The sequence below is a fragment of the Homo sapiens genome, chromosome 6, assembly GCF_000001405.40.
Source record: "Homo sapiens chromosome 6, GRCh38.p14 Primary Assembly".
Taxonomy (NCBI): Eukaryota; Metazoa; Chordata; class Mammalia; order Primates; family Hominidae; genus Homo; species Homo sapiens.
Window position 1 is genome coordinate 19,128,227 of NC_000006.12, and position 26,057 is coordinate 19,154,283.

The 26,057-nt window shown below is 39.0% G+C and overlaps 1 long non-coding RNA gene and 1 pseudogene across 1 annotated transcript in view; one reads left to right on the forward strand and one right to left on the reverse strand.

Annotated features, from left to right (window-relative positions):
- LOC101928519 (uncharacterized) overlaps positions 1 to 26,057 on the reverse strand; it is a 111,938-nt gene that overhangs the window by 59,684 nt on the left and 26,197 nt on the right. Inside the window, exons 4-5 of the long non-coding RNA NR_110860.1 lie at positions 23,400 to 23,559; positions 17,385 to 17,460 (exon numbers count right to left, since the gene is read on the reverse strand). This is a non-coding gene — a long non-coding RNA (uncharacterized LOC101928519). The remainder of the gene's footprint in view (positions 1 to 17,384; positions 17,461 to 23,399; positions 23,560 to 26,057) is intronic.
- Positions 15,427 to 15,969, forward strand: RPL21P61 (ribosomal protein L21 pseudogene 61; annotated as a pseudogene).

Here is a 26,057-nt window from a genome sequence, read left to right on the forward strand (position 1 = left end):
GAGCACCGGGGCTGGAAATATACAAAATGACCTCAAGCATCATGGCACTTTGTTGCTCAGAAATGAAGAAGTACTAAAAGCAAAACAAACAAACAAACAAACTAAAAACCCATAATGATGAAGTTATATTACAAGGACAACAGAAGGAGCTCTCAATGGTCAACCTGGAACAATGGGAGCATAAGAAACGCAGTATTTATAGCCCAAGGTATTAAATAAGTATTATGTCTGTGAGTGGATACAAATGATTCAATAAATCAATAAATGGGGGAGAAAAGACAAATCACCCATGTAGAAGAATTTCAAGTAAATTATTTAGATACTCCACCCTACATGAAGGGGAGCATAGCTGTTCACTCCTTAAGTGTGGGCTATGCACAGTTACTTCCTTCCAAAGAGTACAGTATGGAAAAGGGGAAAAACAGTTATGTTATAATGGAGAAACCTGACAAACGCTACTTGGACAGATGATCAAGGTCAACATCAATAGTGATAAGTCATTTTGCTTGTCTGTACATTTGATATGATGTGATGAAAATGACTCTTTACTTCTGTGATCTTCCTCTCTAAAATGTATAACCCTAAGCTAATCATGAAAAAGAAACACCAGCCAAATCCCAATTGAGGGACATTTAACAAAATATCCAGACAGGTACTCCTCAAAACTGTCAAGGTCATCAAAAAAATGTAAGTCTGAGAAACTATAGCAGCCAAGAGGAGCCTAAGAAAACACGACAATTTGCCAGGCGCGGTGGCTCTCGCCTGTAATCCCAGCACTTTGGGAGGCCAAGGTGGGCGGATCACGAGGTCAGGAGTTCCAGAGCAGTCTGACCAACGTGGCGAAACCCCACCTCTACTAAAAACACAAAAAAGTTAGCTAGGCATGGTGGTGGACCCCTGTAATCCCAGCTACTTAAGAGGCTGAGGCAGGAGAATTGCTTGAACCTGGGAGGCGTAAGTTACAATGAACTGAGAACATGCCATTGCATTCCAACCTGGGTGGCAGAGTGAGACTCTGTCTCAAAAAAGAAAAAAAAGAAAAGAAAGGAAAAAGAAAAAAAAGAAAACATGACAATTAAATGATTAAATGTAATGTGGTAGCCTGTATGAGATATTGAGATTTTGGAATAGCAAAAGGACAAAACTAAATCTGTATTAAGTATGGACTTAAGTTAATATCAAAGTATCAATATTGGTTCATTAACGTAACAAATGTGCCATACTATATTTGACTTTACTAACAGGTGAAGCCTAAGAAACACTGTCTAAGCTAAAGGGCCAAGGTCAACATCAACAGCGGTAAGTCATATTGATAGTATGTACATTTCATATGATGTGATGTAAATAGCGTTTTAACTTCTGTGATCTTTCTGGTACTGGGTATGTGGGAACTCTCTGTTCTCTCTTTAACATTTTTCTGTAAACATAAAACTAGTCTAAAATAGAAAGTTTATTTTAAAAATCATGGCATTTTGTTGCTCTAGGAAAGGTGATATATAAAAGAATGTGCCTTAATGTGTCTCTGTCATATGCTTGCAGAAAGAGGAGACTTTGGGACTTGGAAGTGACTCCTAAAATAGAGTATTTTTAAAACTATGGAACATAACCTCAATAACATTATTGAGAATGGCTACTTGGCAAATAAGGGAACTTTTGCATCAGAGATTATTTATGATACATCACAATAGCAATCTTAAAAATGGAAGCAGATTCTGAGAGACCTAAAGCACAAATAAATGATAAAGGATTGCAAGTGTAAATATTAGGTTTCTCTAGGATGAAGAAATCTCCTTAAAAAAAGGCCTACGTTTCAAAGCCTAGCTGTGCAGGATGAATGAAAATCCATTTGCCCAATAAACTAGAAAATCTAGAAGAAATGGATAAATTCCTTGACACATACACCCTCCCAAGACTAAACCAGGAAGAAGTTGAATCTCTGAATAGACCAATAACAGGCTCTGAAATTGTGGCAATAATCAATAGCTTACCAACCAAAAAAAGCCCAGGACCAGATGGATTCATAGCCGAATTCTACCAGAGGTACAAGGAGGAGCTGGTACCATTCCTTCTGAAACTATTCCGATCAATAGAAAAAGAGGGAATCCTCCCTAACTCATTTTATGAGGCTAGCATCATCCTGATACCAAAGCCTGGCAGAGACACAACAAAAAAAGAGAATTTTAGACCAATATCCTTGATGAACATTGATGCAAAAATCCTCAGTAAAATACTGGCAAACCGAATCCAGCAGCACATCAAAAAGCTTATCCACCATGATCAAGTGGCCTTCATCCCTGGGATGCAAGCCTGGTTCAACATACACAAATCAATAAATGTAATCCAGCATATAAACAGAACCAAAGACAAAAACCACATGATTATCTCAATAGATGCAGAAAAGGCCTTTGACAAAATTCAACAACCTTCATGCTAAAAACTCTCAATAAATTAGGTATTGATGGGACGTATCTCAAAATAATAAGAGCTATCTATGACAAACCCACAGCCAATATCATACTGAATGGGCAAAAACTGGAAGCATTCCCTTTGAAAACTGGCACAAGACAGGGATGCCCTCTCTCACCACTCCTATTCAACATAGTGTTGGAAGTTCTGGCCAGGGCAATCAGGCAGGAGAAGGAAATAAAGGGTATTCAATTAGGAAAAGAGGAAGTCAAATTGTCCCTGTTTGCAGAAGACATGATTGTATATCTAGAAAACCCCATCATCTCAGCCCAAAATCTCCTTAAGCTGATGAGCAACTTCAGCAAAGTCTCAGGATACAAAATCAATGTACAAAAATCACAAGCATTCTTATACACCAATAACACACAAACAGAGAGCCAAATCATGAGTGAACTCCCATTCACAATTGCTTCAAAGAGAATAAAATACCTAGGAATCCAACTTACAAGGGATGTGAAGGACCTCTTCAAGGAGAACTACAAACCACTGCTCAATGAAATAAAAGAGGATACAAACAAATGGAAGAACATTCCATGCTCATGGGTAGGAAGAATCAATATCATGAAAATGGCCATACTGCCCAAGGTAATTTATAGATTCAATGCCATCCCCATGAAGCTACCAATGACTTTCTTCACAGGATTGGAAAAAACTACTTTAAAGTTCATATGGAACCAAAAAAGAGCCTGCATCGCCAAGTCAATCCTAAGCCAAAAGAACAAAGCTGGAGGCATCACGCTACCTGACTTCAAACTATACTACAAGTCTACAGTAACCAAAACAGCATGGTATTGGTACCAAAACAGAGATATAGATCAATGGAACAGAACAGAGCTCTCAGAAATACTGCCACATATCTATAACCATCTGATCTTTGACAAACCTGAGAAAAGCAAGCAATGGGGAAAGGATTCCCTATTTAATAAATGGTGCTGGGAAAACTGGCTGGTCATATGTAGAAAGCTGAAACTGGAAACCTTCCTTACACCTTATACAAAAATTAATGGAAGATGGATTAAAGACTTATATGTTAGACCTAAAATCATAAAAACCCTAGAAGAAAACCTAGGCAATACCATTCAGGACATAGGCATGGGCAAGGACTTCATATCTAAAACACCAAAAGCAATGGCAACAAAAGACAAAATTGAGAAATGGGATCTAATTAAACTAAAGAGCTTCTGCACAGCAAAAGAAACTACCATCAGAGTGAACAGGCAACCTACAAAATGGGAGAAAATTTTTGCAGCCTACTCCTCTCACAAAGGGCCAATATCCAGAATCTACAGTGAACTCAAACAAATTTACAAGAAAAAAACAAACAACCCCATCAAAAAGTGGGCAAAGGATATGAACAGACACTTCTCAAAAGAAGACATTTATGTAGCCAAAAAACACATGAAAAAATGCTCATCATCACTGGCCATCAGAGAAATGCAAATCAAAACCACAATGAGATACCACCTCACACCAGTTACAATGGCAATCATTAAAAAGTCAGGAAACAAGAGGTGCTGGAGAGGATGTGGAGAAATAGGAACACTTTTACACTGTTGGTGGGACTGTGAACTAGTTCAACCATTGTGGAAGTCAGTGTGGAGATTCCTCAGGGATCTAGAACTAGAAATACCATTTGACCCAGCCATCCCATTACTGGGTATATACCCAAAGGATTATAAATCATGCTGCTATAAAGACACATGCACATGTATGTTTATTGAGGCACTATTCACAATAGCAAAGACTTGGAACCAACCCAAATGTCCAACAATGACAGACTGGATTAAGAAAATGTGGCACATATATACCATGGAATACTATGCAGCCATAAAAAATGAAGAGTTCATGTCCTTTGTAGGGATGTGGATGAAACTGGAAACCATCATTCTCAGCAAACTATCGCAAGGACAAAAAACCAAACACTGCATGTTCTCACTCATAGGTGGGAATTGAACAATGAGAACACATGGACACAGGAAGGGGAACATCACACTCTGGGGACTGTTGTGGGGTGGGGGAGGGGGGAGGGATAGCATTAGGAGATATACCTAACGCTAAATGACGAGTTAATGGGTGCAGCACACCAACATGGCACATGTATACATATGTAACAAACATGCACATTGTGCACATGTACCCTAAAACTTAAAGTATAATAATAATAAAATTAAAAAATTTTTTGAAAAGAAAATCCATTTGCCCATGTTAATGAGCAGATTTTCACCAAGTACTAATGATGAGAGTGATATCTCAGAGGATAGGGTGGCCCAGAGAATAGCTGAGATTCCTAGGAAATGTAGGGCAATAGATAGCAAAACTGACCCACAATTAGGTGATCGGGGAGATGAGGAACACACTTTTGCAGCAAAGATTTGTGACTGAAATATGTTAGAATGAAAGATCTGAGACAGGGCTGACTAATACCTGGATGTCCATGTGAGAAGTAAAAGTCGTTGAAGTTCTAGAAGTAATCTGAATGTAAGAACTCCAGGTTTCAAGTTACAGACCTGGGCCCATTATCTGTTTCTCTCCCTCACCAGGCACGGGACAGCAAGTCTTGTAAGCCTTAATTTTGTCATCTGAAAAGTAGCAGTAATAAGGGTGCTTACCTCATAAGGTCGCCATGAATATTAAATAACATATGGTTTTAAATGTTTAAAATAGTGCTTGGTATCTATATATGTAATAAAAGAGGATAGAGAGCTACTATTCTTATAATTATGTTATTACTCATATCATTGTAAAGGATGCCTGTGGGGGGTGATAGTATATGAGGGAAACACTAAGACAGTGTCTGGCACAAGTTAGGGGCACAGTAAGTGTTTGTTTTTAGAGTACTCTTCTCTGAAATAATGATGGTTTGGCCATGTGATGTGGCAGATTGGGTTTTCAGTCAGGTTCATGTTCATTGATGTCTATTCCTGATTATCTCTGTGGTATTTGGACGTCCAGTAAAGAGTTCTTCATATCTTCTCAGTTTAGTATTCCTTTTTTGTCTGTGTTAATAAGTACATTCTGCTCTAATTATCATAGTTAACCACAGACTGAATATTTAAGGTTTAATCCCACAATGGTAGCAGTCCAAATCTGCACTTTGTGCTGTAATATATTCTTTTTCCATAGCATCATCTCTACTGAAAAGCATTTGGTGGATATTATGTATACATACACATGGATATTACATGTGTTTCTAAGTTTTCCAGACACTGGTTATTGCATTCTCTCATGGGGGGAAAAGTGAGTAGTAACCAGTGACACTGGTTTTTGTTTGCTTAATTCTACTACTAGGTGTGATGTTCCTTAGAGAGATAATAAAATAAGAACATTATAATTTTTTGCAAAGCTCACACCTTCTGGGCCAGAGGAGCAGAAAATGCATTTTAAATCTATAGAGCTAAAGTCCAATATTTGGGTCTTCTCCTAACTTAATAGGTATGTGTCTTAGTCTGGGTCTCTGAAAGCAGACTGAGACCATGTCTCATGTGAGGTTGTTGAGGTTGTTTACTGGAGAGTGCTGTGGCAGGGACCAAGTACACAGGGAAGAGATAATGAAATAGGAAAAAAAAAAAAAAAGCCAATTCAAGGAAGCATTATTAAGCTAGCAACCAGAGAGGATAACTAGAATTCCATCCCACTAGATCTCTTCAGGAGCTTTATGAAATAGGTCTCGTACTATCCACCCACGTATAAAAGAGTGAAGCATTTACCTGCTGTCACCTGATACCTGTACATGTTAACTCCCATACATTTCTGGCTTATGCATAGGTGAGTACTAGATGTGTTTCTGATATAGACAGGAGACAGGGAAATACTGGGTAGAAGTGAGTGGTTCCCCGGCAAAGGCCCCACCCTCAAGCCTGAAGACCTGTGGACCTAAATGAGGACAGGCATTTCTGTTTTTGCACCCCAAAAGTTGACTTTTGGCCCACCATGAGACCTTAGCAGGCACACACACAAGTGGCTGAACGTTGGGACCAGCAGACCAGACAGTGGAACAACATGGCAGAGAAACAGAGAAGAGGAGGGATGCCTGGAGGCCAAGGGGGAGTTCAGCCAGGGGAAGTCAGAGAACAGTCTGGCCACTGGGTGGCCTGATTCCAGGGGAAGCCCACTTTCCCACTCCATCCCCCGGTTCTGGCTCCCCATCCATCTCACTGACAGCCGCCTCCACCACTCAATAAAACTTTGCACACATCCTTCCAGTGTGTGATCCAATTCTTCTGGTACACTGGGCAAGGACTCGGGATACAGAAGACTGTCACACTGGCCCCCTGCCCTTGCGATAAGGCAGAGGATCTATTGAGTTGATTAATACATATGCCATCTGCAGATGGCAAATCTAAAAGAGGTTGGTAACACATGCCCACTTGGGCTTCGGGAGTTGCAGACACCCACCTCTAGATGCTACCATGGGGCCAGAGCCCCAAAGCACTCAGGTTGGCCTCTGCACCTGCCCATCTGCCTGCTCCCCTGGGGGCATGAACTGCAGGGTGACCAAGCAATGACACCCCGTCACACGTCCTGCAAGAGAAATCAGGGAACTCTCTTGTTTCATTTCCATGAGGTATTCAATACAAGCCATCAGAGAAGTCCCTGAACAGGAACCATGAGGTATGTAGTATGGGCTTCATGTAGGGCTTTGCCTGTTGTGCCTGTGCAAACCTAGACAAAGCCAGCATGGAAGTCGTCAGAGCATGGAAGTGGCCAAAGCAATGGGTGAACTGATGTAGTGGATGGGAGATGCCAGATACACTGTATAAAGTTACTATGTTGTTTAACTTCTCCAGAGCTCAGTTTTCTCATCAATTAAATGCAACTCAATTTAACCCATCAACTAAACATGGAAATGCACTGTTCGACAGACACCATGTTAGATAGTTGAATAAGATTTAGGTTTTCAAGCATGGGTTCCAATTTTGTCAAATGAAATCTCATGCAACCCTCTTAAATGAATCAAACAAATGTGTAGCTGTATAAATTGAAAAGGGGCATAAAGCCCCATATCCCATTCTCCGTTCTCAGTCCTAAACTTCACATGTAAGGGACCCTAGAACTCAGAGGAACCCAGTTTAGATGTACTATATCAGGTGCCCCTTCAGTTCACTTCATCCTCTATGTGTTATGTGATTCTGTGGAACCCAGAAAAATTGACTCCCACAGGGATTAGAGAACAAGCACTTTTAGGACACTTGCCAGCTGCCATGGAGGCTGACACATATTCCTTATCATCTAACTTAGGCAGCACGGAGAGGCAGCTTTTGCTTAAAGTAAGATCTGTCAAGCTAAAGAATGTTTCTTTAATCACACTTATATGGTATGGTCCTTGAACTTGAATATCAGTGAAGCAGAAAAACAAGTCCACTCCTTTAAGAGAATGCACAGCAAGCCACAAACTGGGAGGAGATATTTGCAATACCTGTATCTAACTAAGAAGTTAATATTAAAATATGTAAAAATGAACTCTTACAAACCCATAAAAAATGATTTTAGAAAAAACCTCATGGGCAAAGAAAGTTGAATGCCACAGAAGATATGCAAATAACCAATAATGTGAGATGTTCAATTTCATTTCTCAGAGAAAAGCTCATTAAAACCACAATATGATATCATGCCATATCACCAGAATAATGAAATTAATAATTGACCTTGTCATGCATTGATGAAGCTACAGAACAACTGGAATTCTCATACACTGTAGTTGAGTATAAATCAAAACAGTCATTTTGGAAAACTGTTTAGAAGTATCTTCTAAAGTCTGGTCTATACATGCTTTGATTCAATTTTTCCACTCTTAAATATATGCCCTATTGAAACACATGAATGTGTTCACAAAAAGAACATAAATGTTCATAGCAGCATTACCCATATAGCCCCAAACTGGAGACAATCAAAACGTTCATCCACTATAGAATGGACAAAGCAACTATGGAATCTTGATACAATGAAATTCTGTACATCAATGAACATGAACAAACTACAACTGCATACAACAACATGGATGAATCTTGTAAATGAAATGTTGGACCGTGCACAAAAATGTACATATTTTAGTATTTCATCTACATATAGCTTAAAAGCAGAAAAACATAATTAATATGATTAGAAGTCAAGATGATGGTTGTCTTTGGAAACTTAATGACTGCAAGGGAGTATGAGGGAGTTTCTGTGTGCTGTTTCTGTTTCTTTATTTGAGCGCTGGTTACATGGATATACTCACTATATAAAAATTTACCAAACTGTACATCTGTGATCATTGTACTTTTTGCCTGTAGTTTATATTTTGAAAATGTATACACACTTGCATACAGACAGCATGCATACACACATGCACACACAGAGAAATCAACTGTGTGTACAAGGTCTTTACTGTGGAGCTAAGTGCGAGTCTCAAAATCACTGAGGGAGGGGACATCACTTTTTTCTAATGGAGAATCTGTTTCAATAAAAATGTATAAAACAGTTCTGAGAAATACTGATTTGATGGTTTGAAGTAAGAGAGTGTCTTATTTGTGGATATAAGAAATTCATTAGGTCATTGAAACCATGCATTGATTCATTAGATCTATAAATATTGATCTTTTGAGCTTCTTTTTAAAAGGCATTACACTAGGTACTTAGGGTGATTAAAAACAAATCAAACAAAGGTTCTGTCTTCAGAGAGCTTACAGATCTACTGGGGAATTAAAATATGCATGCTGTGAAGTGGAAAGAACTCACTACCATAAAAGAGGTACACAGAAAATACTGTAAGAGTTTTGAAGTGGAACAGGTCACTTATGGGAGACTCAAAGACGACTTCATAGTAGAGAGGGGCATTTTCACTTATACTTCTGTCAAAGTAGGTTGAGTTTAGTCATGTGGAGACTGGTGGGTAGGACTAGCTAAGGACCACATTGAGACAGATAAAAGGCTAAACTGGGGAGAATGAGTCACTTTGTCCAGAGCCACAGAGCTTTAGAGTGAATAGGTCCATTTATTTGTTTACTGTGAGTAGATTCATTCATTTGTTAATTTGACAAATGTTTACTGAATTCCCCCCATAGGCCAGGACTGGGAATATAACGGTGACTAAGCATTCTGTTCTCTCCGTCCTTGTAGACACTTGAAAGACTAAGGGAAGATAAGTAGGTAAATGAGTGTTTGCGATAAAGCACGATGCAGGTTATGATGGTGCTGGGAGAGCTCAGATCAGGGCTACACAACCCATGGGCTCAGAGAGGGACTCACAGAAGAAATGTCATGTCAACTAAGATCTGAATCATGAAGTGGGGTCAAATCTATACTGAATCTTAGATGCCAGCCTGAGAAATGTGAACAGAATAGGATATTTTGCATGCATAGAAATTTGAAGAAAAAAATGGCATACTCCAATCTGGTTTTTTTAAAGCGGTTGAATCTTGCTACCACACAGCATGAATGGAAAGGAGGAATTAAGAATAGGAGAGAACACTTAGCATATTTCAGGTGAAAGATAGTAATGTTCTGTGCAACTTTGGCTAGACAAAAATAGAGAAAGTGATATATTATATTTGAGAGGTATTGGAATGGTAGACCTGAGAGAATGTGTCAACTGATTTTATTTTGGATTATTTTGTATGAGGAAAAAAAAAGGGATGCAAAGATTGTGAGGCTAGGTAAGTTGTTTCCTGTGCAAAGAGGAAACTCAAAGGAAGAGGCATGCCTGGGATAGATGGGACACTGGTGGGGGCTGCTGAGAGAAGAGAGGTGTGAGACCTGCTTCGGATGCACGCATTGAATTTGAGATGTCAGAAGGAAATATCCTGAAATCCTGATAGAGAATTTTAGACAGATAGAGTGTTAGGGTTTGGGAGAGAATGCTAGAGCTAGAAATATAGATTTGGGAGTCTTGTATTACCTGAAAGTATTTATTGAATCCATGAAATCAATGAGATTGTCAAATGACAAATTGTATTGAGAGAAACGGAAGCAGGAAGCCAGTAGTGAGACCCAGGGACAGTGGCAACATTCAGAGGGGCTGAGAAAGAAGGCAGAAATGACAGAGGAGGAGTAGGAAAGAGGGAAGGAGGAAAGTGCCAGAAAATCATCAGAGCAAAGTTTCAGGAAAAGAAGGAAGTGGCCCATAGTGTCAGATGTGATAGCAGTTTCATGATACTAGAGCCTTGCTTAAAAAGAAATGCTACTGTTACATGTATATTGCCTTGGGGAAGGCAATGTGTGAGAAGGACAGACAGAATTGATAATCCTATATTTAATATTTCTCCCAAAGTCAGTTTCCTGTATACTGGAATCCCTAAGAGTTTAAACCAAGTGCTGTGAGCATATTTTCACTACAGCCAAGACTTTAAAAACCAAACCATTTGAAAATGGTCATTTGGGTGCAAGGATTTTGCAATTCTGCCTTAGTGTCTACATAAAACAGCTCACTTGAATGCCAGCCTAAACTAGAAAGGCAACAAATACTTAACAGCAAAATGTCCTTGATGTTTAAAAATGCTTGTGACAGCATAACATGAAACTAAAAGAAAGGTATTAAAAAATACTAGGCAAAGGCAAACAGAGGCTAACTTTTTGAGCACATATTCATCTCAAACAGATAAGAGGAACTGCCTATCTGGTGATGGGAGTCTCTCTTTTGAAAATTTTTATATTAAAATCTGGGAGCAGTTGACATATGTTAATGTCCAAGTGCATCCAGACTTGTCATTTCCTCTCTCAGGCAGGTGCACGTCTCATGTCAGTTCTCTTCTTAGGTAGAATGGTTTTACATCCTGCTTCGTGCTGTCCTGGTGTAATTATCAATAGTGCCTCCTTCCACTTTCAAATACGTCCCTGAGAAGATGTTAAATGATATGTTTGCTCTGCTTCCAGATCTCCCATACACTCAGCAAAAATAAGAGTTAAATTTAGGGGCTCTGGCACCAGATGCATTAGAATTTGAATCTAGAAGCTATCATTTTCTGACTTAGTTTTTGGCAATGTTTGTTCTTGAGCAAGTTTTAACCTCTCTGGGCCTCAGCTTTCTCAGATGATAAAGAATAATTACAGAACTACTTGAATAGAGTTGTTGTGATGAAGTCACAATGTCCATAAAGGGTTGAGCACATTGCCTTGAACATACACAAGCACCCAATAAATGTTATCAGTTATCATTATCACTGTTGGTATTGTCACACCCCATCTAGAACCCTTCCACAGACTAGGGTTAATTTTGAGCTAAGATGTTTTGCAGCTAATGAACTTCTCACATTCCAAAAGAGTGCCCTTTTCCCAGTGTCAGACTTCCCTGCAGATGTCGTTTCCCTGGTATTAGTGCAGTAAGGGGTGCCCATAATAATCTTTCACCCAAGTGGGTTTAGACCAACATCAAGCTCACTATGGGCTATACAGTAATCAGCAATCACTCCTGGGCCCAATCTGAAGACAGAGATAGAAGCAACAAATTATAAACATACTAAAACTATATAACCAGTATTCTGAGTTCATACCACATAAATTCATAAAGCATTTTGTTATCCTCACATGTATTATTACATGTATAACAATGTGAGCCTTGAAAGAAAAGTATTTTTTTCTTTTAGTTCTAAAATTCAATTTTGTCAACTGAAAAATGAGTCTTAATTCTCCACCTTCTACCACTTCAGTGAACCAATGTAGATGCAAACAGTCAAAACAGAACCAAATTATTATATGGATTTTTGCACTGCTTCAGAAGTCAGAAAATCAGAAAATATGCAAAATCCTCGTTTGCCTTATGTAATTTCCACTATCAGTTTGGACCACAAGTCTGGGTCTCATAAATTGTATGGCACAAGTAATGCAATAATACAGTCACTACTTTGCCTTTTTATGTCTTTTTCTGCAGATGGCCTTATTACCAGATTCTCTTTGGTTGATGAAAAAGTTACATCATTAGAGTCATGCTTAATGAAAAATGCATTGCTTCAGTATCACCAGTTGCCTGCATCTGGTCTGATTTTCAGAACTGTAGGTTTGCATAGATTCTCTGCAGATCATTGTGTTCAAGGTGTTTAAGTCTGTATATATTTGTGCTTTTATTTTATTTTACTTTTTTGAGACAGAGTCTCGCTCTGTCACCAGGCTGGAGGGCAGTGGCACAATCTCAGTTCACTGCAACCTCCACCTCCCAGGTTCAAGCGATTCTCCTGCCTCAGCCTGCCAAGCAGCTGGGACTACAGGCGCACGCCACCGCGCCTGGCTAATTTTTGTATTTTTAGTAGAGACAGGGTTTCACCATGCTGGCCAGGATGGTCTCAATCTCTTGACCTCGTGATCCGCCCACCTTGGCCTCCCAAAGTGCTGGGATTACAGACATAAGCCACTGTGCCCAGCCAATGCTTTTAATTTCTATTGTATCTCGTCTTCATGGATGACATTGATGTTTGTGGGTATTCGTGATTGCCTATTAGAACAGCAAAGGCAACAAGTGAACTTCGATATGTTCTGTTCCTAGGAGTACTAACTCTGTTCCTGATTGGTTTCAGCTGAGTGGGGGCAATGGGCAAAACCCGTGGGGTTCCGGTTATAATAATGGGAGGCTTGCAGGTCCTCCAGCAGACACAGGCTTCTGCTGGCTTTCCAAGGAGTCTCAGCTGCTGCACTCTGTCCTTCCCTCTCCATGTGTAAGAGGTTTCTGGACCAGAAGCAGATCACAGAAAGAAGCAAAAATCTCTTAAATTTCAGATTCTAGACATATTTGCTAAACAATATATGATTCCCTGTTCAAAAGACTACAGCAACTTACTGCTTTGAATGATGCATCTTACCTTCTGATTGCCTGAGACTTGTCTGCCTCAAATGAAAAGTACATGATTTCTCCCAAAATATTCATAAGCAGGGCAGAGAAGTAATTAGGAACCTATTATTTTGCCAGCAGGGACCAGAGTATGAATTTTAAGCTTGCTGCTGACTACTTAGATAACTTCAGGTATCCAATGTATCTGAACTTCATCCTTAAAATTTAAATTATAATAGTAGCCACTATATAAAACTAATGACGATTACATGAGATAATACAAGCAATGTCTGATACTCAGTGTTCAATAAATGCTGGCCATTACTATCTATTAGCCCTTCATTTATCTGGAGCATTTTGGTTCTTGCAGCAGTACGGTTCCCACCTAGACTGAAACCCTAGATCGTGGTATATGGTTCTTCCTCATCACATCCGTCAGACTTGGTTGAGAATACAGTACAGTACAGAACCTCTTCAGACAGCTACTGCCTCTGCCTTCAGAAATGTCGCTGCTCTGAAGATAGTGCATAGGGAAGGAGCTAATGACAAGTTACTGAGCTGGAAATAAAGGGGTAAAAAGAATGCCTTTATGGGCGCATGAGTTTTCAAAACCTCTCAGCATATCTATGGGACTTTATTTGGAACCAGTGCCATCTGTTTACCGATGTCTCTGACAGAAATGTGTCCGTGAATTTGGACCCTTCTTTATTTTCCCCCTCAGCTGTGCAGTGTAGCCAGATGTTCTTGTGTTTCAGAAGCAACCACATCCATCAAGCTCTTCGCGGGCCTGGATCGTTCATGCTTATGTAACTTCATTTCTCCAGCAGTGAGACTAGTGTGCTTGCTTACCCACTTTTTTTTCCTTATTTTTTTCTCACATTGCTTTAAATTAAATTAAAAGCCAGCACTGTCACTAATTAACCAAGAGTGGCACATTTGTAAACCTGGATTTGCCTGGTTGCCAGTAGAGAAAAATCCCTCTGCACTCTGCCAAAACCGTGTTTACCAGGCACCATTGGTGTCTTGGCAATGCTGCTTGAGTTTTGTCAGAACATAATGTAGCTGTGTAAAAGATGTCCTTCGGAGATGTTAGCTGACTTGCCTTGTTCCCAGACTTAAATATGCTGTGAACTAATTAACACCAGCGTGAGAGTAAACACTCAAATATCGTTACCTTGCGAATAACAGCACACAAATTTCTGTGCATGGGTTTCTGTCTCCTAAAAAAAGAATGATGATGGTTGTTATCACAGGAAGAGAAAATATTGGGAAAGTAAAGCACTGGCATCTGCTAACCAGCATTCTCTTGTCCCAGTTTCTAGCAATCTTAAATCTCTGAGGTAGAGCCATATTATTCGAAATGTGTGTCATAAGTATTGCAGACTTGGACACAGAAGGGGGAACTGTGACTTTGGGGGCAAATGTGCCATTCAGAAGGTTTGAGAAGGTAACCTGAATTCATGCTAGAAAGAATTTTTTGCCTTCTCTCTCTCCCTTCTGACAACAGAACAGCTTCACTGACAACAGGGCCACTTGAATTCAGGGACTTTTGACTGAAGATGACCTTATTGCTTGGGAAGAGCCTGAGGTTGACACCTTCTGGGCTGTGGAATAAATAAATATGCTTACTTCCTCTGATCCTTGATCTGAAATAACTCTGACAGTGGGAATTGGAGATTCCAAGTGCCCAAAAGAAGTGAGCTTGAAAAGCAGAACAGAGACAAGTTTTATTGAAAAATGCTTATTTTTACACATTACAATGAAAGTATTCACTTTTTTCTTAAAAACTTCATTTTTGTCTAGAAACACAGAATAAAAAGTTACCTTTATATATATACTCTATAACAATGCTGCCCGTAGAACTTTCTGTGAAAATGGAAAGGTAATCTGTGCTGATGTGGCCACTGAGCCCTTGAAGTGAGCTAGTATGACTGAGAGTTAGATATTTACTGTAATCTTAGTTAATTTAAATGTGAATGGTCACTTGTGGCTGTGGCTACTGTACCGGGTGGCATACCTGCTCCACAACGTATGAACTATGGCCTTGTTTTTATTTTTGCAAACCTTTTTAATGTTTGGCATAATAGAAGATGGCTGATTCTCATATCTGTTTCTGCATTCTACCTGTTATAATCGTTTTTGCTGAAGTTTGTGAAGAAAATATGACCATACCCAGATATATACTTGGAAAGGGAGATATAAACTCAAGAATTAAGATTTGATGGTTCCTTTTGGCCAGAACCGCCATCTTCCAGTAATTCGCCAAAATGACGAACACAAAGGGAAGGAGGAGAGGCACGCGATATATGTTCTCCAGACCTTTTAGAAAACACGGAGTTGTTCCTTTGGCCACATATATGCGAATCTATAAGAAAGGTGACATTGTAGGCATCAAGGGAATGCATACTGTTGAAAAAGGAATGCCCGCAAGTGTTACCATGGCAAAACTGGAAGAGCCTACAATGTTCCCCAGCACGCTCTTACGTTGTTGTTAAGGGCAAGATTCTCGCCAAGAGGATTAACGTGCGTATTGAGCACATTAAGCACTCTAAGAGCTGAGATGGCTTCCTGAAACGCGTGAAGGAAAATGATAAGATAAAGAAAGACGCCGAAGAGAAAGGTACCTGGGTTCAATTGAAGCGCCAGCCTGCTCCACCCAGAGAAGCACACTGTGTGAGAACCAATGGGAAGGAGCCTGAGCTGCTGGAACCTCTTCCCTATGAATTCATGGCCTCGTACGTGTTAAAAAAATAAAAGACCTCTGGACTGTAAAAATGTTTCCCTTCATTGAGTAGAAGTGTGGTGTCCTCTCCCCCAAAGCAATATTTAAAGCAAATTTTAATTGCGCTGTAATTCATATGTAATGTCTTTACTATTCAAATTTAATGTATTTCTTGCTGAAAGACGTGACGTAGCTTATTGTGCAACAAATTACTCAACTGGTTAGAAAATGGCCAGGTATTATGTATGAAATATTTGTACTGGTTTGAACATAGTACCTCTAAATCATCAAGGAAGAAATAAAATAATTTACAAAAATTTTTAAAAAAAGATTTGATAAAATTTACAATGTTTACTGCCTTACGAAAGACTCTGTTGAGACAGAACCTTACTCTGTTTCCCAGGCTGGAGTGCAGTGACATAATCACGGATCACTGAAGCTTCTACTTCCTGGGCTCAAACAATCTTCCCACCTCAGCCTCTTGAGTAGCTGGGACTGCAGGCATGCACCACCATGTGCTGCTAATTTTTAGAAATTTTTTGTAGAGACGGGATCTCATTATGTTGCCCAGGCTAGTCTCAAACTACTGGGCTCAAATGATTCTCCCACTTCAGCCTCCCAAAGTGCTGGGATTACAGGTGTGAGCCACTGCACAAGGCCAAAAGATGTTTTTAAATTAAATTAGCTTTACAAAATATCTTTTAGTGCCACTACCTTCATTCATACAGGCACCAGCAGTTTTACCAACCATTGCATTTGTACCAATAGTACAAATGCCAATGTCGTAAGTAAAAACAAGTAACACCAAAGTATTATCTTATAAATAGTTTAGACTTCTCAGGTCCTTTAAAAGAGTATCAGGAACCCCTAGAATTCTGCAGAGCCCACTCTTAGAAGTGCTCTAGAATCTTCTTGTCTTCCCCATCCTGCACTCCCCTCCTCCCCACCCAGTCAAACACACATACCACCCTTTTATCTAACAGAACAGCTTAGCTCTATTCTTGGAGACCTTGGAGCCAACCAATAACAAGGACCTCGATTTTTTCCCCCAAGCAATTAAGTTTTATTTCCCAACAAACATAATTCCCACCTTAAAAAGAATTCTGGTGCCATTTGTAAGAATTATTATACTCCTTGTTTACCCTCTCCCATACAAACATCTGTAAATTTTTATTTCATCCCCAAGCTAGTACTTTCAACCTGTCTGCTGGAAAAATCCACCAGGATATGTACCTGTAAATAATTATCTGTTTCTTTGTTTCCTTTTTGACCTATTTCTGCTGTAACACAGTGAGTTTCTTGAAAGAAAATGGAGTTTATTTTATAAATATTAACTGGATGGATAGATGCATGATGTACCAGCTGTGTCTATGGACCCCTCTCCCACACTGACCTGCTTCTCTTCTTGTTTCAGTTGTCTTAATGGTCCTCCCCTTCCACTCATTCATTAAGAGTACTCACTTGAGCTAAGCATCATCTTTGAGCATTTCCTCTTCTTCTGTATAATATATGTGAAAATCATGAGACATAGCTAGTCCTTGGAGAGAAAGAAAATGCATGACTACATGCCATTTGGGTAGGTTGTTACCAGGCTATTGTGAGTAAAATATCTGTCAAATTGGTATTTTTAATTGAAAAAAAGAGTTATGTTTTCTTTTAGCTTTCTGGTTTTCAATGTAAGACTTGGGTGAAATGAGCTCTACTCATATCACCTGGCAATGGCAATGTGCATACTATATTTTAGGAAATTGTCAAAAACTTTAAAAGGATTCTCACAGCTCAGCTCTATTTAAAATTCAAGAGGGAAAAAAATTTTTTTTAAAGTCAAGAGGGCTTCAGATGTCCTCCAAGCCCTGGTCTTCCTCACGCTAAAGCTTCCAGAGCCAAACATTGGAGACCCCATTTTTAGCAGAGAACCCACAGCCTCACATTATGTGGGGACTCAAGGTACCATATTTTAGCCACTAAATTTATTTCTGGACTCTTGTTAGTGACTACATGAATTCTTTAGGGCCCCATGGCAAGGCGATCTCCAGGGATTTTAACACATTCTGAATTTGGGTTGCAAAGGAGTCTGGAGACTGTTGCTTTCAGCTGGAGCCCAGAAGAACTGACAATGAAAACTGCAATAAAAGCTCCTGGTGACCTCCTGAGGCAATACTGCTACTTTTGAAAATAAACGTATTTACCTAACAATCACTTAGAAGGAAATTTTAAGATATATGATTAAAGTGTATTAAGCTACAGATATAAAAATCTAATCTTCAAAAGGAAGCACAGTATTGTGGTGTAAGAATTGGATCACAAATAAGAGATCTCTTTTATAGCCCTGGTTTCACCCCCAACTAGTTATATGAACTTGGACAAGTAATTGAACTTCTTTGGGTTTCAGCTTCTAGTCTATATATAACATGTGACCTGAACCATAACTTTCTATTTATCTTTGAATTCTCTGGCTTTCTCAATCCATATAATCCTTTGCTTTCCTATTCTGATAAACCAGCCACACACTTGTAGCTTTGCCTTTTGTGAACATGAATTCCTAATAATTAAACTGAATAATGTCCCCTCAAAGTCTTACTTAAAACATATACTTCAGCTTGCCTGTACGAAGCTACCTGTCTTCTCTCTCTCTCTCTCATCAGCCCTCATGAGATCCTGCTTTAATTTATGTGAGTAGCTTGCAAGACTGAACTAAGAAAGGGCTGTTTCTAATATAGTAAATCAAAATAACATCACATTCACTTGAAACAATGTTTTTGAAATTCAAGTTCAAAACAGGTAATTCAGACTTCACAAATACTTTGGCTTCACACTTGCTTTCCTTCTCTACTATGTCTTCAGTGACATTGTGCAAAAGGGCAATTCCATTTCCATAGGTTACATTGACTTTGCAGAGCTGAAGAATCAAAAAAAAAAAAAAAAAAAAAAAAAAAGAATGAAAAGAAAAGGAAAAAAAAAAAACACCAAGAAGGCTTGGTTTGGGCCTAGGAACTAAATAAGCACAAGATAAAAATCACAGTGGAAGTGAGTGTCATTGAAATAAAGTGACTTGTTTTTATCGCAAGGCTATTTTCAGTTAAGTCCACTCTAATTCTTATCTTTATTCAACCTACAAGTTATAGATAATGCATGACTATATTAAAATTCTCTTCTTGGCCTGAATCTCCTATCTCCAGTGGACAAGCTGGGTCCTTGACAACTTGATTGTATGTGTGTTGATTTTTAAAAGACAACATGAAATCTTTAAAGTTGGAATTTCCTGATTATTTTAGACCAGGTTCTACATACTGCACTGATACTACAGAGCAATTTTAGAGAGCAATCGTAATTGCATTAAGTGACTTCACATGATTAGTAGAAGCAGAAGGAATAGGTGATCTGGATTGTTTTTGAGAAAGCTGTTAATGAAATATAATATGCATGTAGAAAAGTGTAAAAATCTTAAGTGCTCAGTTTGATGTATTTGAACAAAGCAAACACACCCCTTTAACTATCAGACTAAGAAATGGAACATTAGCACCCAAGAAGCCCCATGCCCTGCCCAGTCACAATTCCCCAAAAAGTAATCACTGTCATGACTTCTAACAACATGGTTTAGTTTAGCCAGTATTCGAAATTTACATATATCGAATTATATAGTGTGTACTCTTCTATGTCTGGTTTCTTTCACTCAGTAGTGTGTGCAGCAATTATTCATGTCATTCATGTGATAGCAGTTCTCATTGCTGTGTAGTATCTTATTGCAGGTATCAACAATATATTAAATATCTATTAATATTTGTGCTCTTACAAATAGTATTTTGGGAACACATGCATATGCATTTCTGTTGAGCACAAACATTTAGGTAATAAACTATGCATACTATATATATTAATGGAGACTGCCAAACTTTTTCAAACAGCTGTACCAATTTTCACACCCATTAGAAGTGGGTGAGGCTTCTAGTTTCCCTACACGCTTACAATCTGTTGATATTGTCAGTCTTTGTTATTGTAGCCAATTTGGTTGTATCGTAGGAGTTTTATATTTTAGTCAGAATTTCCTTGACAACTAATGAAGGTAGATATTTTTCATATTCTTATTGGCCATTTGGATGTGCTTCTTAGAGAAGTGCTTGTTGAAATCCTTACCTTATTTTTCTACTGACATATCCTTTTGTTACTGATAGGTAGGAGTTTGTTATGTATCCCCAATATAAGTCTTTTGTATGTGTGTGTGTATATGTGTGTGTGTGTGTGTGTGTGTGTGTCTGTGTGTGTGTATTCATTGCTAATGTCTTCTCCCTCTCTGTAGCTTGCCTTACCACTCTCCTAATGGTGTGTTTTAATGAAACTGTTTTAATCTTAATCAAACTTTTATTTATAATTAGTGCTTTTTCAGTCCTGTTTTAAAAATCATTCTCTCCCCAAGTTTCATGAAAATATTCTCTTTTCTTCTAGAGGTCCTAGAGTTTTGCCTTTTACATTTAGATCTATGAGCCACCTCAAATTATGATTTAATTCTTCCTCTATAAATATACATCTCAACTGACATCATTTATTGAAAATAAAATATTTTCCTTCACTGCATTGCAGTTACACTTGGTTATGCCCCAGGAGACTATATATTTGTGAATCCATTTCTGGATTCTCTATTCTGTTCTATTGGTCTGTCATTGAACCAACACCTCACTGTCTTAATTATGAAACTTCGGAACAAATCTTGATATCTGACGGTGTTAGTCCTCCAACTTTGTATTTCCACAAGGTAGCCTGTCATTTGAATGTATATGTTAAAATACGCCTGACAATCTTCACACCCCTACCCCACCATTGCAACAACCCAACAATAGCAACAACAGCAGCAAAACCTATTGGCATCTTGATAGGAATTGTAGTAACCATATATGTTAGTTTGGAAATACTAGAAAAACTTGAAAAAATTGTGTCTCATGAATTTGGAGTGGACACTACTTAACTCACTACACTGTTATTAATCATTCTACATGTGTTACTGTACACACCCTTTCTATGATTGGTTACAGACAACTTAGCAACCCCTAGTATGTTAATCTTTTTTTTTTTTTTTTTTTTTTTTTTTTTGAGACGGAGTCTCGCTCTGTCGCCCAGGCTGGAGTGCAGTGGCGCCATCTCGGCTCACTGCAAGCTCCGCCTCCCGGGTTCACGCCATTCTCCTGCCTCAGCCTCCTGAGTAGCAGGGACTACAGGCACCTGCCACCACGCCCGGCTAATTTTTTGTATTTTTAGTAGAGACGGGATTTCACCGTGTTAGCCAGGATGGTCTCAATCTCCTGACCTCGTGATCTGCCCGCCTCGGCCTTCCAAAGTGCTGGGATTACAGGCGTGAGCCACCGCGCCTGGCCATTAATCTTGAATATGATTACTGCATATACCAGATCCTGCCACCCTACCCATCTGACTGTAGGTTTTACAGAACTGCAAATGAAGAAACCCTCATTTTGACACCATTAAGATATAAAATGGCCCTCTCTGGGGAGCAGGTTGTCATCAGCAGCTGAAATCAGTAAGACGCTATGGCCAGAACTGGGACATAGTTCATAAAACGTACACTTTACAATTCAAAATTGTAATTCAATTCAATTCAAAAATTCAATTCAAAAATATGAGAATATTTTTAGAATTTAATTAAAAAATAAAATATTGAGTCTTCAGTCTATAAACATGGAATATGCTTCTATTTACAAGTTTTTAAGTGTGTCTGAATACTGTGTTTAATTTTCAGTGCAGAGGTCTTGTATGTCTTTCCTAAGTATTTGATAATTTTTGAGCTATTGTACATAGTACATATTATTTTTAAATTTCAATTTTCTACATGTTTGTTTTATTTATTTTTCCTGGATCTTATCACTGGTCTGCTATAAACTACACCAAGCTGAAAGCAGAAACGGAGACCTACTTAGATTATAAGTAACTATTATGTTAACAGAATTATCTTTGCATATATGAAAAAAGAATGTTGCTCTGCAGAAACACTAGTTATATTTGATCTGTAGTGATCCTAAAGGTAGTTATGAGAAAGAAAATTAGAAAGTGAGTTTTTGATTTTGTTTTTTGCTCAGTTCTGAGTATCTCTTTTACTGTGAGACTATGTAAGTGCATTCTCAGCAAAAATCACAGTAAAGGGTTAAGTGGACTAAATCGGATTTGTACTGCCTATGAAGGTGCAATAAATGGGCACATAACTACCCCAGCATGCAAAACTCTTCAGTGTAAATGAGCCAAACCGCTAGTTATTTGTCAACTGCTCTATCATTATCCTGTGCGCATCCACCCCTAATAGGGGCTGTCAGGTTCATATATGGCTTGTATGTTGTGAGTTGTTGTGTCTCTCCTGATAAGTTCCTGTCAGTTGTGGATCTATCTGGTTAGGAGATCAGAGCAAGGAAAAAACAGTGCAGTGATTGACAGTGATCAGAATGGGGTGATGGAATGTGGGACATGGAGAGAAATGGAGGGAAGATAACATAGAAGCATAAAGAATAAAAAATTATATGCTGTGTGGTTGAATTCATCCATCTTGTAGCCTGATTGGTAAGCCTCACATTTAAAAAATAAAAATCCTAATACTATTTTCTTCCTAGCAAATGCACATGGAAAATCAATATAACACAACCAGTAAAATAAGTCTCAGCCCAGGAAACAACCCTTCTTTAAGTCCACAAAAAATATATTCAATATGTAAACACATTTTCACATACTTTTATATATTTCTAATAATAAAAGCAAATATGTGAGTTGTATAATTCTCATCTGATGGGGAAACAGAGAATCAAGGAATTTAATGACCAACACCTTGATAAACAGCTAAATTAAGTACTTTTAAATCTTGTTTTAGAATTCTATAAAACCATACTGATATGTTAATTTTAGTCCTTCTAGAAATACCTCTTGGCATCCTAAAACATAAATGTAGTGATTCTTAGAGTATTTCTAAAGTGCATCAAATTTCTACTCTTTTTTTTTTACATTTTATGCATTTGTCACTTTGACTATTTCATCAATATTTTCATTAGGTCCAGCATTGTGATTTTTGCTTTATCTCAGGTAGAATTATCTGGAACAAAGAAGCAGCAACCTAACAGTATGGAGGGCATAATGTGGCTCTTTTTTGACAATTAATCATAATTGGTGGTGGAAGCAATGTGGTTAGTTCAATCCAAAAGCAACTTCTAAAATGTCAAAAAGAAAATATCAAAACAGAATCAAAGTGAACAAAAGCACAGCCATAATCGACAGCCATGCCCTGGATTCCTGAAGCATTGAAAACCTAACTGAAAAGCTAAAAGCCTGTTCACAGCAACCCTACATTTTGTTTTCCCTCCCGCATTGTTTTCATTTCTTTAGTTTTGGGTTTTTTTTTTTTCTAAAATTGAATTAACCAATATTTTCTGGCCCACCAGCCATAGACAAGCTAGGATGGGGAGCAATATAACAAAAGGAGAGAAAACATACCAAGTGATGAGTCTGGAGATGTGATTTTTCAGTTCCTGCTTATATCTTATAGTTGTGTGACCTCGATCACCTCTCAGGACCAGCCACTTGTTCAGAAAGTGTTTGGGCTTGATGTCACCTAGTGTCCTCATTAGCTCAAAAGTTACTCTGATCTCTTAACCTAGTGGGGAGAGGAGAGATAGAAGCATGATGAATTAAAAGAGCTTCCAATGGATTGCCTCATTTGGACTTATTTTCCCATTCCCAAAGGCTGACAATGAGGTTTAAAGGCTACGTGTAGACTGATTTGGGAACAAAAAGATTTTAAATGTTTGTATTAAACTGTTTGAAGTATTATGAGGGATATTAAAATGTCCGTGACACAGTCCGTGTCACAGAGGAGATTTTTCTTTCAATGGAGAAGACATTCTATACAAATACATAATAATGTTGGAAAAAAATCTGAATAAGCCTAAATGGAGTGCTAAAATTACAAAAGTATAAGCATTAGATGCTATAGAAATTCAGAGATACGCAAGACACATCTGGAGGAGCACTGAAGATGATCTTGAAGGAGGGGCTTGGGGAGTGGACAGATTTGGATAAGCAGATGTATATAAGGAGGTGCCCATTTTTGATGAGAACAACATAATCAACTGAATACATAGAAATGCAAGAGGAGATATCTTCCAGGAATAGTGAGAAGAAAGTCATCTTGGATCAGAGGACTGTTGGGAGGTAGGATTGGAGGAGGCAGGGAGTATCCATATTTTATAGATGATGTTCAGGTTGAAGAAGCTAGACTTTGATATTTCATGAGGAGCTAGCAAAGGGAAGGGATTGCCGAGGGAAATTTAATCTTTTAGAAAGATAAAACAAAGGCCAACTGGAAGAACTGATTAAATGAGAGAAGACACTAGCAGCAAGGAGTCAAGCTGGATATCTAGGCAACTGCCAGGTATAGATGAAAATCTAAAGCATTAGCAATGCAAAAAATCACCAGGCATGGTGGCTCACATCTGTAATCCCAGTACTTCGGGAGGCCAAGGCAGGAGGATCACTTGAGTCCAGGAGTTCGAGACCGGTCTGACCAACATGGTGAAACCCCATCTCTACCAAAAAATACAAAAATTAGCCAGGTGTGATGGCAAGCGCCTATAGTCCCAGCTACTCAGGAGGCTGAGGTATGAGAATCATTTGAACCTGGGAAGCGGAGGTTGCAGTGAGCCCAGATCATGCCACTGCAGTCCAGCCTGGGCAAGAGTGAGGCCCTGTCAAAAAAAAAAGGGGGGGGGGGGAAATCCAATATTTTCCAATATTGGAGGAACTTCCTCAATAATTCTCTTTTCTCCTTTTCCTTCCTGATCTGAATAAGCCTCTAGACAAAATTGTATTTTCACTCATCAAGCCTAAGAAGGCATCCTAGTCCCTAGTGGTGGTCTTTGGTTAGATGATATAGAATTGATTTTGTAGTTTGCTTCATGGAGGCCACTGGGAACATTGTTCATTGGGATGACCTTTTGTGTTCACACGATTATGGAGACATGACCGAATCCCCATCCTTAGTTCAAAAAGAAAACAAATCTTCTTCATTATTTTGCTGGCTCTCCACCCTTCTTGATCTCAGCCAACCTTTTTCCAGGGTCTCCCATCTGCTCTCCTCCCATGACGATATTCTCGGATATTTTGTTCCCTTGGAGCCAAAGATACACTCTTTATGTGGTGAAAAAGAGTATGTCTCATCAAAGTCACTCTGGACTAGCTGTCTATAGCCCAGTGATAATAATTCCACTATCTAAAGGAAAAATGTAATTTTACCACAAACATTCCCATGATGATTCAGTCCTAACTCTTGCCAGAGAGAAGGCTACGCCATTTTTTTTTCTATCCCCAGCACACAGGCTGCTGTGAAGAAGCATCTGCTGTCTAATTCTTTTCTATATTAGGATAAAATGCTTTTTGGCTTGCTGATTTCAGGCCCTTAGGAAAAGAGAAAACAAAGTTTCTCATAAAGTCTTCATTGCACAACCAGTTGGTCTGTGTTCTGGGAACCCCAGGCATGGACTTGCGGACCGAGCCACAGGAGCCATAGCTCAGAGATAATCGGGTCAGGAGCTGGATGTGATGTGCTTGCTCTGGGGGTACAGATGGTATCTATTTAGCTAGAATTCTTCCACTGTGGCTGCCTTAATGCCCAGATCATTTTAACTGGCTTCTTATCACATCTGGGAGGGCCAGCATACTTTTCCTAAAGACTAACCAGATAGAGTTTAGTTTTCTACAGCTCCAACAGAATGAGGCATAGGAATAAAAATCCGCATTCACAGATGAATATGTCCTTGAGAATGTATCTGGAGAGCACCTGAGGAAAAAGCATTAGAGTGCTATTTTCTTACCAGTTCCTTCCGAGCCTCCTCCCTGCAGGGCTGCTTTTGATGAAGACAAGGGCACACTGTTCCCATGAAGACTCCTGAGCCAGGTCAGGGGCAGAAGCCAAGGGAGGTGGGGCTACTGAAGGAAGCATCACCTGTTGAAGGCTGTTGGCCTATCTCATGAGAAGGCTAGATGGGAGAGTCTAGGACACACACTTTGTATTTTGCTCTCTCCTCTCAAACTCCAGCTTTCTGTGTACCAGTGAGCTGGCTCACACTGCAAGTACTGGCCATCTGCACAGCATCC